Here is a 15970-nt window from a genome sequence, read left to right on the forward strand (position 1 = left end):
TAAGTGCACACTAGACCATGCCTATGAGGCTTGGTGGATTTACCCAGCTGCCTCTTTGGGGGCACCATGGTTCCCCAAGGAAATCAAAGAAGGGCCTCAGCGATGCACGGCCCATTCTCTTTCTCTTGGCACTGACTGTGTGGGCAGGCCCTTGGGAAGGCAGCAAAGGGTGCAGACTGGGGGTTCCACCTGGCCTTGGGTCTGCCACCAACTCTCCAGGGGACCTGGTGACTCTCCTTCAGAGCCACCCCTCTCCGTCTGGAGGTGAGGGGATCTGAGCTTGGCGATGTCTAGAGCCCCTTTCAGCTCTGCATGGAGCGGTCCAGTACCTCCACCCCAGCTTTTCCACATTTCTATTTGGCGACTTTAGAGGTGGGAAAAGGCCTGTGGGATGCTTGGCCTTTGAGGTTTGTTGTGGGACATTTGTTGTGGGACATGGCCATGATCTCTCAGTTAATGTGTCTTTCAGATGCCACCTTGAGGTTGGTCAATTTAAATTCATCCTATGGTCTATGTGCCGGGCGTGTAGAAATTTACCATGGTGGCACCTGGGGGACAGTTTGTGATGACTCCTGGACCATTCAGGAAGCTGAGGTGGTCTGCAGACAGCTAGGGTGTGGACGTGCAGTTTCAGCCCTTGGAAATGCATATTTTGGCTCTGGCTCTGGCCCCATCACCCTGGACGATGTAGAGTGCTCAGGGACGGAATCCACTCTCTGGCAGTGCCGGAACCGAGGCTGGTTCTCCCACAACTGTAATCATCGTGAAGATGCTGGTGTCATCTGCTCAGGTATGGCCCAATGCCATGGAAGGCCCATTTCACCTGTAACTTGCTATAAAGCAAGAGCTTAAGGCCAGTGGCTGATGGTGTCTGTGGCCCAGGCAGGAGCTGGTCATTGTGTCCTCGTGGCCTGCGCACTCCAGAAGAGCATGCAGGGGGCTGCTTTATCTTTGGCCAGTTTCTGGACCCAGGGCCATTATGCTGAACACTCATCTGACTAAAGGACCTCCAGCAATGATTTTACTTCTTTATGCTTCAGTTTCCTTGACTGTTGAGTCGGGGTGGCTATGATAGTACTTGCTACTGGTGACAATTGGGATGGTTTTAGAACAATCATGGTCAAGGAGAGAGTGATGGGTGTTATGACCTCAGCTGTAATCCTGATGACCACAAGTATGACGGGACTTAGGGAGCATCTGGGGAAGCTGGGAAGGCTTCTCAATAGCAATTGCTGGGTGGACCTGGGGACCCTCGCCGAGGGGGGTCAGGTTATGGGCCATGTAAGTGTATCTCTGTCTCATTCCGGCCCCTCCTCCAAGCCACATGTCTGTGACCTATGCTTTTTTTCTATTCCTTTTTCAGGAAACCATCTATCGACACCTGGTAAGTCCCTCCGATTTCCATTCCACTTCCCTGGTCTCCAGGTCTCTCCATTACTGCTGCCTAGACTGTGCAGGGCATGTTGCTCACTCTCCAAGGAGTTCATCTGTGGTACCATCCTCTACAGCCCCTGTCCCCTCCCCTGCCGGCCACCAGGATAGTGTGCCCCTCTCTGTGCTTCAGTGGCCTGACCCACCTAAGATTAGGATCTCCAGTCAGTCCCGAGGTGAGGCCCGCCACCTGTCAGATTTGACTGTCCTCACAGACACCAGACCCTGACCAGTGTTGGCCAAATGGGGCCCACTGCATCGCAGAGCTCCTCCCTGCCTGCCCCTGAGCTGCTCTGAGTGTTCCCAGCATGGCCCTGGCACCTCTCCAACACCCCCCACTGCCCCGCCCCCTGCTTGCTTTGTCATCCCCTCCTGGCCTCCCATAGCAGCAGCTTCAGGCCTGTGCCCTCCCATCCATTCTCCACTGTGCAGCCCCTTCAAGAGATTCCTCAGGGTCTTCTGGTGATGACCCCGCTCCTCAGCACAGCATGACTGCCAGGGCTCCCCATGATCTGCTCCCTATGCTTGGTGCCCTCTCCCCATCCTCTGCCTGCTCCATCTACACGGAGGTTCCCAAATCTATTCCACCCAGGTGCAGTTGCACCTGCTGTTCCTCTGCCTGGGACACCCCGTTTCTACCTCTTTGCCTGCCCCCTAATTACTGCCCTTTTTTCCCCACTCCATCTGGGGCAGGGGCCAGACTTCCAGGCTCCTCTCCTTCCCCAGGCTTTGGTCAATCTCATCCTTTTCCCAGTGTGCTGGGATTCGCTCTCCTCCAGACCTCCCCAAAGGCAAGTGAGCTCCCCAAGGGCAAGGCCTGTGTCCAGCTCCTCCCTGTGGACTCAGGCTTGGCACAGCATCTGCACAGCTCATGAGCAGTCGACAGCTGTGTCAGGGATGCCAGAAAACTGATCCTGATCTTTTCTTTTTGTCAACAGCTCCTTTTCTCAACATCACCCGTCCAAACAGTAAGTTCTGAGCTCCCTGACAAGTCTGTGGCAGAGTGGCCTGGAAATTCCCCTTCCCATTTCCTCAGTGACAATGGGGCTGGGGAGGAGATGGCTTCCCCCAAAGTGGTCTCCCTGCAAGAGTGCCCTGCCAGCCCTCAGTGGACGGTCCAGATCTAGGCCACCTCTTGCTCTTACTTGGTTTCTGTCTTGGGAATTATTTTATAAAATTTTAAAGTAATTTAAATTTAAAGTAGTCCGCAGGTAGACTGTGCAGTGTGCTCTGGGGGTCACCGACATTCCCACTTTTTGTCCTGACAGCAGATTATTCCTGCGGAGGCTTCCTATCCCAACCATCAGGGGACTTTTCCAGCCCATTCTATCCCGGGAACTATCCAAACAATGCCAAGTGTGTGTGGGACATTGAGGTGCAAAACAACTACCGTGTGACTGTGATCTTCAGAGATGTCCAGTAAGTGTGCGCCCAGAAGAATGCCTTGGGGCCCCACAGACCTTTCAAGAGGGAATAAATGGTGCTTAAGTGTGCGCCCAGAAGAATGCCTTGGGGCCCCACAGACCTTTCAAGAGGGAATAAATGGTGCTTAGAAAGCCAGGAGAGAAGTTTGCTGAGAGACATTTTTGACCTAGCCCAGAGGCATCCCGTGGAGAGTTGGGGAGGGGGCACGAGAGCCTTGGAGTGGACAAAAGCTCTGGTTTCAAGTCCTAGGTCTTTCACCAATTTGCTGTGTGACCACAGGAAGTCACTCAACTTTCCTGAGCCTCAGTCAAAAGAGGGGAATAAAATACCTGCTTTCCTCACCTCACTGTTTACTGGGAAGGTCACGAGAAACAGAGAGGAGAGAGAGGGAGAGAGATGTGAAAATATTTACAAAATGTTGTCCAGTGGAAAAGATGGTTGTTAAGTAGTAATGATAGACTTAGGGGCAATAATAGCACTAATAATCCTATTAACAACCACACTGGCCAGGTATGCTGCCTCAGGGTTGTAATCCCAACACTTTGGGAGGCCGAGGCAGGAGGATCACCTGAATGCAGGAGTTCAAGACCAGCCTGAGCAATATAGGGAGACCCCCCATCTCTACAAAAAAGTACAAAAATTAGCTGGGTGTGGTGGCCTGCACCTGTAGTCCCAGCTACTAAGGAGGCTGAGGTGGGAGAATCGCTAGAGCCCTGGGAGTTGAAGGTTGTGGTGAACTATGATAGCGCCAGTGCACTCCAGCTTGTGGAACAAAACGAGACCCTGTCTCAGGAAAACAAAACAAAACAAAAAGAACAATTGTATCTGTTTTGTGGAACCCTTTTTCTCCACCCATTCCTTTCTTCATGTGAGTTCCCCAGGGGTCGGGCAGAGATGGAGGAATTGCTGCTCCAGAGGGTAGGGTATCTGCTCTGCATCCAATCATAAGTAGAAATCATCGTTTTAAGCAGAGAGGACATTACTAAAAGCACTTTTCTTTCTTTCTTTCTTTCTTTCTTTCTTTCTTTCTTTCTTTCTTTCTTTCTTTCTTTCTTTTCTTTCTTTCTCTCTCTCTCTCTCTCTTCTCTCTCTCTCTCTCTCTCTCTCTCTCTCTCTCTCTCTCTCTCTCTCTCTTTCTCTCTTTTTCTTTCTTTCTTTTTTTTTCCGGACATGGAGTCTCGCTCTGTCACCCAGGCTGGAATGTAGTGGCACGGTCTCGGCTCACTGCAACCTCTGCCTCCCGGGTTCAAGCGATTCTCCTGCCTCAGCCTTTCAAGTAGCTGGGCTTACAGGCACACGCCACAATGCCTGGCTAATTTTTGTATTTTTATTAGAGACGGGGTTTCACCATATTGGTCAGGCTGGTCTTCAACTCCTGGCCTCAGGTTATCCTCCCACCTCGGCCTCCCAAAGTGCTGGGATTACAGGTGTGAGCCACCATGCCTGATGTCAAAAGTACATTAATATATGATTTATCCAAGGAGGCGGGTGGCCCAGCTAACTGTGAAGAGGCACCAGTGTTTGCTAGTGTCCTGAACAAGGGGCTACACTAATTTCTTCTCTAACAGCCACTGTTGAACAAAATAGTTTTCCCTGTTGATTTCTGTTTGCAGTGGGCTTTGGAGTCTCTGCTTTAGTGATTCATTTGGGATTTTGCAAAAGATACATCATTTTATTCTCTTTGTCATTACAATACAAAGATTGCACTTAAAGCTGATGCAGTCCTATGGGAAAAGGTTGACCATGACTGGTTCTTTAACCAGCATCTTGATAGCAATGACCATCACCATTTGTGACATTTTACAAAGCCCTTTTCTGTATGTTGTTTTATTTGAGCTTCACCATAGCCCTCTTCAGTGTGCATGGATCAGATTACTTTGCCTTTGTAAATAGGAAAAGCTTTAGAGAGATTATTTGACTTGCCCAGTATTTATTTATTCAATTATTTATTTCTCTCACTATGAATTCATGCATATTGATTTTATTCTGTGGGGGCACTAGGGACTTTTCGATGGAAGAAAAATGGTCTAAATCAGGATGCGAGCCCTTCCTTTCCTGATGTAAAGGGCTGACAGGTGAGGGGCTGTAGATTTCATATGTGTGATTGCAAAGGGCAGGACTAAGACCCAGGCATGGAGGTTGAGGGAAGATGAGACTCTCTTGATTTAAGGATACCTATGACTTTCTTTTGTTTCAATTTTTATTTTTCTTTTTATTTTTTGAGACAGGGCCTCACTCTGTCGCCCAAACTGGAGTGCAGTGGCACGATCTCGGCTCACTGCAACCTCTGCCTCCTTGGTTCAAGTGATTTTCCTGCCTCAGCCTCCTGAGTAGCCTCCCTCACCCTACAGGCTTGTGCCACCACGCCCGGCTAATTTTTGGATTTTTAGTAGAGACAGGGTTTCACCACGTTGGCCAGGCTGGTCTCGAACTTATGACCTCAGATGATCCACCTGCCTTGGTCTCCCAAAGTGCTGGGATTATAAGTGTGAGCTACTGCGCCCAGCCAAGGAGACCTATGACTTTCATCGATGAACTTTGTCAGAGTTTCTGGCACAGAGGTGTGACCCCACCCTGAGATCTGACCCCCTGCGTCAAATTCTGGGAGGAAATGAAGCCAAATGGTGTGTCCTCTCTCTGCAGGCTTGAAGGTGGCTGCAACTATGATTATATTGAAGTTTTCGATGGCCCCTACCGCAGTTCCCCTCTCATTGCTCGAGTTTGTGATGGGGCCAGAGGCTCCTTCACTTCTTCCTCCAACTTCATGTCCATTCGCTTCATCAGTGACCACAGCATCACAAGGAGAGGGTTCCGGGCTGAGTACTACTCCAGTCCCTCCAATGACAGCACCAGTAAGTCCCCTTGTGGAAATGCTCTGTTGGGACTGGGGACATCCTGAGAGCATCTGTGGCTCAACTGTCCTGTTGTTGTGAAATAAGAAATGAAGGAACCCTTTCAGGTCACCAGGGCTTGATTTTCAGCTGAAAGGGACCAGGAGCAGTGGGACTTGGGACTCTGGCTGCCCAGAAATAAAGTCAGGGCTAGAACTGGCTGATGGGTGATGATTGGTCTTACTGTGGTCAGCAGAGACTAAGTAGAGGGTCCCAGATGATGCTCTTCGTGGAGAGTGATGAGTCAGTGCCAAAGGCAGAGGTGACCTCTTGGCTTGAAACCTTGTGACCTTCTCAGAGTGTGGGACACTGTGGCCATGGCCTGAGACCTAACACATTTGGTTTCTATCTGAAGATGGACTGAGCTGGGTGGCTGGAAGTGGCTGAGATAAGGTCACTCAGACACTTCCAGCAGAGCCTGTATGGCCATGATTTGAGTTGCTGTATGGACTGATATGTAGAATGGCCAAGGGCCAGGCAAGGTGACATCCAGGGTCTCTTATGCAGTCAGGATTAAAGACTGACTTGCTTCATGGCTAAAAGACCTTGTTTCATGACATTCCCACAATTTGATCATACAGTTACTTTACTTTATAGATAAATGGTAACTTGGCCAAACATACCACTTATTTAAAAATCCTGCCTCCAATTCTCCATCAGAGAAATCCTGAGTCCACGTGCTCTCCTTGGGCTTTCATAAGGATGGGGCTGACTTGACCCTCGGGTCCTTGGGGGATTGCAGTGAGGTCTATGCCCACATCCTAAGTGCTGACCCTCCCTGTCAGCCACCCTGGTCTGTGCACTTTTTAAGTGGAAACAGCCTCTGGCCCCGTAGGACTTGTGGAGTCTGGGGCAGTGACTGAGTGCCTTATCTGTCCTTGTCTATCAGACCTGCTCTGTCTGCCAAATCACATGCAAGCCAGTGTGAGCAGGAGCTATCTCCAATCCTTGGGCTTTTCTGCCAGTGACCTTGTCATTTCCACCTGGAATGGATACTACGAGTGTCGGCCCCAGATAACGCCGAACCTGGTGATATTCACAATTCCCTACTCAGGCTGCGGCACCTTCAAGCAGGTAAGCCTGGGGCTTCCCATTCCATTTCCCAGTGCACAAGCTTTCTTAGAGCGGTATGTCCTGTGCTTCTTGAATTCTGGGGATGAAGAAATTATGATTTTGGGATAATCAGGACATAATTGGAATAAAGGAAGATAAAAAACCTTTGGTGCTATGATATGGCTGCAGCTACTTCCAAATAGGAAGAAGGAAGCTGAGCAGAAAGAGTATCTCCAGCTGTGTCCAGCAGAGAGGGCTTCTGGCAGACCGCCACTCCCATCAGCAATAACAACAGCAGCTCCTGGAGCAGCTCCAGATTTTGCAGGGCCTGAAGCTTATACAGTTAGGGTTGGGGGTGAGAGGCAGGTGTTGAGATGGGCAGGGGCCTCATTAAGTCAAAGAATGCAATATCTATGAACTTTTATAAACTTTGCAAAAACGTATGGCTGTGCAAACACATTGCTAGGCCTTGGAGGAGGCCTGCACATTGCAGTAGGCAGGGAAGAGGGGGCCCAAAAGCTTCAGCTTCATTAGCTCCATAGTCAGCTGGCCTCTGCAGCTACCATTTGTTGAGCTATCACCATCTAAGATGGCCCCCTGCATCCAATTTTGGGTGAAAGTGAAGCCAATATGGTGTGTCCCTTCTCTACAGGCTTGAAGGTGGCTGCAACTATGATTATACTGAAGTTTTCAACAGCCCCTACCACCGATTTCTGTGGTTTGCCTGGGACTTTGCAGATTTTAGCATAGAAAGTCCCACGTTCCAGGAAACCCCTCACTCCCAGGCAAATGAGGACGGTTAGTCACCCTACAAGTGGCAGATGCTGTGATTGGTCCTTGTCATACTCCCCCAGTGAAGGCCTGGCCTTAATTGTGTTGGGTTCTGGCTTGCTGTGAGTTTGGTCAGTGGAAGTCAGTCCACTGAAGGTGACCATTGTTCCTATGCCAAGTGAGCAGCCTGGAGACTCCCTGAGCGGCCCCGCTGAGGGCCCTTCACACCCATTCACACCCATTCACACTCGTTCACACCCATTCACACCCGTTTGGAGCGGCCAGACAACTCTGTCAGCCCTGTTTCTTCTAACTTGGCTGATCATGAATAGCACACGCCACATTCTTATTCCTCCACTCATTTATTTATTTTTATTTTATTTTAATTTTTTAATGACAGGTTCTCATTCTGTTGCCCAGGCTGGATGCCCAGGCAGGGGTGCATCATAGCTCACAGCAGACTTGAACTCCTGGGCTTAAGCAATCTTCCAGCCTCAGCCTCCAGAGTAGCTGGGACTATAGGCATGCACCACCACACCCAGCTAATTAACAAATTTTTTTTTGTAGAGGTGGGATCTTGCTATGTGTCCCAGGCTGATCTCGAACTCCTGAGCTCAAGTGATCCTCCTGCCTTGGCCTCCCAAATGCTGGGATTACGGGCATGAACCACTGCTCCTGGCCTCCTCTATTTCTTTAAATAACCATATTGCCTATCACACTGAGTGCCTCAGGGGCAGGGCCAATGTTTTGTTCATCTTTGCAACCCCCAGTGCCCCTGGTCCTGAGCCTAAGAGTTGATATAGTATTATTAACAGCTCATACAGATATCAGACACTGAACTAAGTGTGCTATATAACTTTTAAAATTCTCAGGACAACTTTATTCCCACTTAATTATGAGGCAACGGAGGCTTGCAGAAGGTAAGCCACTTGCCCAGAACCATATGGCCATGAGCTGCGGGTCTAAGACATAGAAGTAGGGCTGTGCCATCCATGGCTGGAGCTTCCCACAGCTCCACCAGGCTGGCCTGTGATAGTGAATTTTTATCTAAAATTAGAACTGCTTCTTCTGACCAAGAAATAAATCTGCACTCCATGTTCATTATTTGGAGTGGATTCAGAATTTACCTCCATCGTAGGCACCACAGGCAAATGTGACATCCATGCAAATGATCATGTTAATGTACAGGGTTCAATGGAAAGCACTTGAGAGCATCTTTGAAAGAGTAAGAAGGGTCATACTGTCATGTGCGTCCATGTGAAAAGACCACCAAACAAGCTTTGTGTGAGCAATAAAGCTTTTTAATTACCTGGGTGCAGGTGGGCTGAGTCCAAAAAGAGAGTCAGCGAAGAGAGATAGGGGTGGGGCCGTTTTATAGGATTTGGGTAGGTAGTGGAAAATTACAGTCAAAGGGGGTTGTTCTCTGGCGGGCAGGGGCGGGGGTCACAAGGTGCTCAGTGGGGGAGCTTCTGAGCCAGGAGAAGGAATTTCACAAGGTAACGTCATCAGTTAAGGCAGGAACCAGCCATTTTTACTTGTTTTGTGATTCTTCAGTTACTTCAGGCCATCTGGATGTATATGTGCAGGCTTGGGCTCAGAGGCCTGACAAAAGGGTTTATTGCGGTCGTATGGTTTAAGTCATACGGTTTATTGTGACAACTGTTGGCACTGAAATATAAAGCAAAAACAAATTTTTAAGACAGTTTAAAGTCAGAAAATGTACGCTAAGAGCAGGTGGACAAGGTAGAACCCCTTCCTGTGGGTCTTCCCCAGACCTGGACCCAGAGTGTAAGCTCTGGCACCCTGTGCTGGCTCATAGCCAAAGGATAGGCACGTGCCATGGCCATCTCTGAGTGGTTCTGGGAGGGGTGGAAGTCTTGTTGAGTCACGTCCCTCTCATTCACACCCAAATCAGCTATGGGATTCCCTTAGCAGGTGACATGTGCCTGACTCTGCTCTCTTGCCTGCCTCTCCTAGGCAGACAATGACACCATCGACTATTCCAACTTCCTCACAGCAGCTGTCTCAGGTGGCATCATCAAGAGGAGGACAGACCTCCGTATTCACGTCAGCTGCAGAATGCTTCAGAACACCTGGGTCGACACCATGTACATTGCTAATGACACCATCCACGTTGCTAATAACACCATCCAGGTCGAGGAAGTCCAGTATGGCAATTTTGACGTGAACATTTCCTTTTATACTTCCTCATCTTTCTTGTATCCTGTGACCAGCCGCCCTTACTACGTGGACCTGAACCAGGACTTGTACGTTCAGGCTGAAATCCTCCATTCTGATGCTGTACTGACCTTGTTTGTGGACACCTGCGTGGCATCACCATACTCCAATGACTTCACGTCTTTGACTTATGATCTAATCCGGAGTGGGTAAGGAGTGTCTTTATGCGATGGCCTTAAACCTTTACTTGATAACTCAAACATGAGTAGCCCCAAAGGCTTGAAGAATGCAAATTTTGATGAACTGCAGTTCCCAGTACTTCCAGCTTAACTGGATCCCTTTCTACATGTAGTGATGTCCTGTAGCTTTCACCTTTGAGGTGCTTTTACTCTGTGTTCTGTATCACATCCCTGATTTCTCATCAGGTAGGATGACCATGTATCATCTCCAGTTAACATCTGGGGAGATGGGTTTCTGGAGAATAGAACAGCTCAGCAGTGTTCACTCAGCAGGTTAGCTGTAAACCGTGATCAGACTCTAGGTGACTGAACTCCAGCCATACGGTTAAAAAGACCTGCGTATAGTGGGAAAAGCATTGATTTGGAGCAGACCAAGGTTGAAATGCCAGCTCTGCCACGTGCCAGTTGCATGATTCTGGGCCAGTGAAAGCACCTCTATGGACCAGTTGCTCGCCTGTCAAGTGGGGATAATGACACGCACATTGTAAGGCTGTTGGGAGGATGGGATGAGAGAGAGTGGATGTGGCACTGAGCACAGAGAGTGTGCAGCAGGTGGTCCACCAGGAATGTGCACTGAAGATGGCAGGAGCCCTGCTGCCCTCCTTCAGCCTGGGAATAGAAGCTCTGGGAGTCCACGGGTTCCAGTCAAGCTCAGGAGGTGCAGAGGTCAGGCCAGAGATGTCAGGCTGGGGCCAGAGGGTGTGCAGGCTGGGCTGCTCTACCATAGCCCAGCTTCCCTGGATGACTGCATGTGGGTGAAGTGGGGTTTGACTCTTCTGCACTCATGATGACACCATGATGTGCAACTCCAGCCCCCTCTGAAGTCTCTGTTGATAGATGTGTACCACACTTCTTGGCTTACAATATAGACCTGGACACTTCAGTAGCCATTGCCTTCCAAGAGAATTTATACCAATAGGATAAAGAGTTCTACTAGGAATTAGAGGTGGGCAGATTCAATTCGACACCCTCTTGATATGCTAAACGTAGCACCTCTTTCCAGGCACAGTGTGAACATATGTCAGTTCAGTAGGTAGGTGTTGAGGCTCACCTTGTTTACAGTCTATGCAGCTTGCTCAATTCACAGCAGCCCCCTTGGTGGCTGAGAGGAGGGGAGAAAGCTTAACCAGATTCCCGTTGTACAAATAGTCATAAGGTGACTTTTGAATTTGTGTGAATTGATTGACATTAATGAAAATGAGTGGGTGACCTTAGTTCTTCCTTGCCAAAGGATTCTTTCTGGTCAAATCCTGCCATTTCTATATGACAATGCAATTTGCTGGGAAGACGGGGATGTGTGTGCAGGGGTAGATGTACCCTGGCTATACCTGGAGCACAGGGACTTATTGGCTACACCTGGCCATCAACAAGATCATCCACCTGGAAGTCCATTAGAATGACCTGGGGCTCCAAACACACCCTGCCCAGGCCCTACCCATACATTCTCTGTTTGGCCTGGTGGGGCTTGGGCATGTTACGTTTAAAAAATCTTGAGTGATTCTGAGGTGGAGTCATGGCTGTGGCTTCGCTGTGGCATTCTGGTCTGCGTGGAGCCCTGAATGGCAGGGTTTTACGGCAAATGCAATGACTGCCCAGGGGCTTCTAAGTGACCCTGACCTTTTTCCCAAGTGTCCCACCTCTGAACAAGCCTCTGGCTATTTTTGCTTCCTCCTTTGCCACTAAGGGAGCTACTGTGAAAAAAAAAACAAAAACAAAAAAGAAAACTTGGTATTTGAGAGAATCTGGGTTGCCTATGGAGGAAGGAAGGAGGCTCTAGAAGACAGAAGGAGGGGAGCAGATCCTGGCCAGGTTCCCAGGCTGAGCCAGACTGCCCTGGAGACCACATCCACCACCCACGAGAAATGCCCATCCTAGGCCAGTGGGCCAGTTTTCCTGGCTTTTCTCTTTGCCATGCCCTTCAAAATCCCACCAATCTATAATAACTGGGTTAGTGTGAGCTGCTTCTTCCATCTTAGGAAAATTCCTGTAAGCATATCCTTAGGTTATTTTCCCTCTGACCCCTGCTGAGAGGAGGTGCCCCAGGGAATGAGGAGGGGGTTTATATCGGTATAGGGGCTCCTGGAGGGTTCGCAGGCCAGTGTGGAACGTACAGCTGCATGGGGCTCAGGGCAGGCTGAGGAGGGTCAGGAAAGAGAGGCCCTGGGAGAGGGAGGGTCAGGGCACTGTACTCAGAGTGCAGCCGAATGAGACCTTGCCTGGCCCTGACACCAGGTGAGAGAAGGGAAGGTCATTTACTTTTCTGCCCTGTCTCTGGGTCCCGCTCCTGGGCTCCAAACTCCAGCTACTTCCCTGACTCATCTGGTTTACCTGGGTGCATGGAGCATGTGGTCATTGTGGGATTAGGCCTCAACCCACTGTGCAGTATGGGACCTGCTTGTCTATCGGGAAAGCTCTCACAGGCTTTGCTGCCTAAGGATGGCGGTGAGGTACCGGAGCTGCCAGGATTTCTCTGCAGGCCCCTCAGTGAGTGTCTGATCCACACGTTCTGACAGAAGGAAGGTGAGGTGTGCAGGAGGCAGGGGCAGTGAGGACAGGCTGTGGAGTTCCTCACCTGGTACAACTGAGTCATGAAGGAAGAATCGGGCCTTGGTGAGAGCTAAGGGGCTACTGTTCTCTTCCAGATGCGTGAGGGATGACACCTACGGACCCTACTCCTCGCCATCTCTTCGCATTGCCCGCTTCCGGTTCAGGGCCTTCCACTTCCTGAACCGCTTCCCCTCCGTGTACCTGCGTTGTAAAATGGTGGTGTGCAGAGCGTATGACCCCTCTTCCCGCTGCTACCGAGGCTGTGTGTTGAGGTCGAAGAGGGATGTGGGCTCCTACCAGGAAAAGGTGGACGTCGTCCTGGGTCCCATCCAGCTGCAGACCCCCCCACGCCGAGAAGAGGAGCCTCGGTAGGTGGTCGCTCTCAGACCCCACTGTCCACCGGGGCGCAGACCCCTGACTCGGGGACTTGGGATGTTCCTCTTGGTGTCATATTCCAACTCAGATTGAGCCCTACATTGTGCTGCACCTGGTCATACGGAGTTGAATCAGACCTGGTTCCCGCCTCCCCCAAGGCTCATGGTCCTTGGAGGACCCGTTGCAGGGTGAGGTCAAGAGAGTTCTGACCTGGATGGCCCATAGACCTGACGTCCCAGAATCCATGCTTCTCATCTGCAAAATGAAAATGTCAATACTTACTTCTTAGCACTGTTGAGAGGGTTACTTACATAAAGGAATTTTGGTGAAACTGCCTCAGCCTGTTCCTGGTGCAAGTCATTGAGTGCTTGGTAAATGGTAGTTTTTGTTACTCCTGTTGTTGTCACCCATGTTAACAACACCAATGATGACAGTATTCCTCACAACGATAATAACTATAACAGCAGACGTGTTGACATCAGGGTCTAGACAGGGCCATGGGGACGCCAGCTGCATGGATTTGTCCTGATCGCTGGCAGGCTCTACTGGGCACAAGCTATGTCACTTTTCTTCTCCAGAACAGGGAGTGCATCTGCTGCTGTGCTGCTGTGTTGCTGTGCGGCTGTGCTGCTGTGTTGCTGTGCGGCTGTGATGCTGCGCTGCTGTGCTGCTGTCATGCTGTGCTGCTGTGATGCTGTGCGGCTGTGCTGCTGTCATGCTGTGATGCTGTGCGGCTGTGCGGCTGTGCGGCTGTGCGGCTGTGCTGCTGTGTTGCTGTGCGGCTGTGCTGCTGTGTTGTGGGCATGGACGAGGGAATGAATGTTTGCAGAGTGATGCCCAGGATTTCTGGCCCAGTCTGGGGCTAGGTCAACAGATGTGGTGGCCATGGTGTTGGGGGTGGGTGGGGCAGCAGTAGTTGTCACAAGCCCTCTCCTTGGTCAGGGCGCTGCCCATGGGGCATCTTTGACAGCTCTTTCCTCTTGATTCCTATTCAGGCCGTCTTTATGTCCACCTGAGTCCAGACTCTTTCCTCACTTGTTCATTCATTCAATGCATGTTTAATGAAGGACTGTTATGCACCAGGAGGCAGATAAAGTCTTGGAGGAAAAGATGCAATTCAGAATAAGTCTCATGAATGGTGCATGCAATGGGGTCGGAGTGAGGAGCAAAGGACATCAGGGCAGGGCGAAGGTGCCTGTGGGCACAGGCTCACTTCCCTCCTCTCCCTCCTGTTCCCTGCAGCTGCCGTAGTAGCTCACGTCCTGGGGGCCTCTTACCTGGGACTCTTGTAATCATTTCCCAGCTGGTCTAAAATGCCCAACTCTCTCCCCTCCCATTCATCTGGAGCCTCAGGCCAGATTTGTTCTCCCAAAGCCCAGTTCCCAGTTCCTGCTAAGAAAAACTTCCCTGACTCTCCTTGGCTGATAAACGTGAAATCTCTCTAGTCTGACAGTCAGCTGCCCATTGGGGTCTGGCCTCAGTTTCCCATTCAGCACTTCCTTCTCCAAGTTTTTTATCCTTTCCCACCAAACAGTTCTGATTGCCTTTACTATGCCCAGGGGGCCATGGCCTTTACTTGTCTTCCTCTCCTCCTCTGCCAGGCTCTGTCCTGGTGCCCTGTCTGTTATTGTGGTCTCCTCTCCTTCCCAGACGTGTTGGTGGCTGATGTGGAGGAGACAGCCAGCACCCAGGGGAGGTATCACAGCACTGCCATCTCTTCTGGGGTCTTCCTGGCTGTGGTTCTGGTTGTGGCAGCCTTCACCCTGGGGAGGAAGGCACACAGCACCAGTGGCCGGCCTCTGAGCTCCTAGATATGAAGCCCAGAGAAGGTGTTTAGATATTGGCTCTGCCAGCCCAGGCACCCGAGAGAGGATGGAAGAAACAAGGGTGCAGAGCTTGGCGCCCAGCAGCACCTGAACTCCATTTAGCTTGGCACAGGTGTATGGTGGGGTGGGTGGAGGTGGGGTGAAGAAAGATGGGGTGGGTAGAGGTGGGGTGAAGAAAGGTGGAGCGAGGTTTTCCCCAGATCCGAAGGCTCAGTGCTGGGTCAAAATGTCAAAGGTAAACAGGTGCTAACGTCTAAAGCCTCACCTGCAACTCTAAGCCAAACATTAGTAACAGCAGAGCTTTCTCTAGGTGGAATTTCTGAGCCTTTTTTTTTTTTTTTTTGAGACAGTGTCTTGCTTTGTTGCCCAGGCTTGAGTGCAGTGACACAATCTCAACTCACTGCAACCTCCGTCTCCTGGGTTCAAGCGATTCTTCTGCCTCAGCCTCCCTAGTAGCTAAGATTACAGACAGGCTAGACCATGCCCAGCTAAGTTTTGTATTTTTAGTAGAGACGGGGTTTCATCATGTTGGCCAGGCTGGTCTCAAACTCCTGACTTCAAGTGATCTGCCTGCCTAGGCCTCCCAAAGTGCCGGGATTACAGGTGTGAGCCACTGTACCCGGCCTCTTTTCTGACCTTTTATAAGCTCGCTTCTTAGGCCTGTAGCATAAATCTCAGCCTTTCCTTAGGGTAGAGCCAGCTGAATAAAGAACCTTTTTCAGAGTAAGTGTCAATTTGGCCACTGTTGCCTTCGTTTCTCCTAAGAACTAGATCCTTTCAAATTAAGCAGACAGGTGGGGTGGTTGTCATACAGAATGAGAAGGGGCAACTCGTGTGTCTTCCCAGTGTCCTTGGAGTGTTGGTTCTTCCCAAAGCAGGATATGCAGGATGCAGCCTGGAGAAAGACAAGAATGCTAAATGCATTGTAAGTTTCAGTGGCTGTGATTGAAAATTAAAGATGATTGCCTCCATTTCTCTAGGGATCTGCCTCTTTTGGTTTTTGACACTTCATCTCCAGAACTATGGGCTGGGGCGGTTCAGGGAAAGAAGCAAACTCCTTAGGGCCCTTAGGAAGGGAGTCCTGTTTGCATGAGGTCTCCAGAGAGAAGGAGATTGACAGGTGACCCAAGGAGCTCAGAAGAAACAAAGGGATGAGCTGGGTTCCAAGGAAGCAGTACATTTGCCTAGAAAATCAGAGAGATATCAGGCTCAGGGCTCCTAGGTCAGGCTTGGC

At 50.2% G+C, this 15970-nt stretch overlaps 1 protein-coding gene across 5 annotated transcripts in view, besides 1 other annotated feature; it reads left to right on the top strand.

Annotated features, from left to right (window-relative positions):
• DMBT1 (deleted in malignant brain tumors 1) overlaps nt 1-13245 on the top strand; it is an 82983-nt gene extending 69738 nt beyond the window's left edge. For 4 of the 5 annotated variants that reach the window (NM_001377530.1, NM_007329.3, NM_004406.3 and 1 more), the window contains 8 exons: nt 470-790; nt 1364-1384; nt 2370-2399; nt 2700-2850; nt 5500-5708; nt 6637-6821; nt 9549-9958; nt 12631-13245. In NM_001377530.1, the coding sequence (NP_001364459.1) occupies nt 470-790; nt 1364-1384; nt 2370-2399; nt 2700-2850; nt 5500-5708; nt 6637-6821; nt 9549-9958; nt 12631-12907 (1604 nt within the window). In that variant the 3' untranslated portion in view covers nt 12908-13245. The remainder of the gene's footprint in view (nt 1-469; nt 791-1363; nt 1385-2369; nt 2400-2699; nt 2851-5499; nt 5709-6636; nt 6822-9548; nt 9959-12630) is intronic. The other variant, NM_001320644.2, reaches the window with a different exon arrangement.
• Nucleotides 8851-10050: an enhancer, noted in NCBI's record as "BRD4-independent group 4 enhancer chr10:124398858-124400057 (GRCh37/hg19 assembly coordinates)". NCBI's record gives its function as "activates an origin of replication core promoter dependent on BRD2, P300/CBP, MED14 and CDK7 cofactors, and independent of BRD4, by STARR-seq in HCT116 cells {active_cell/tissue: HCT116}" and the evidence as "EXISTENCE:reporter gene assay evidence [ECO:0000049][PMID:35650434]".

The sequence above is a fragment of the Homo sapiens genome, chromosome 10 (assembly GCF_000001405.40).
Source record: "Homo sapiens chromosome 10, GRCh38.p14 Primary Assembly".
In the NCBI taxonomy this organism is placed as follows: domain Eukaryota; kingdom Metazoa; phylum Chordata; class Mammalia; order Primates; family Hominidae; genus Homo; species Homo sapiens.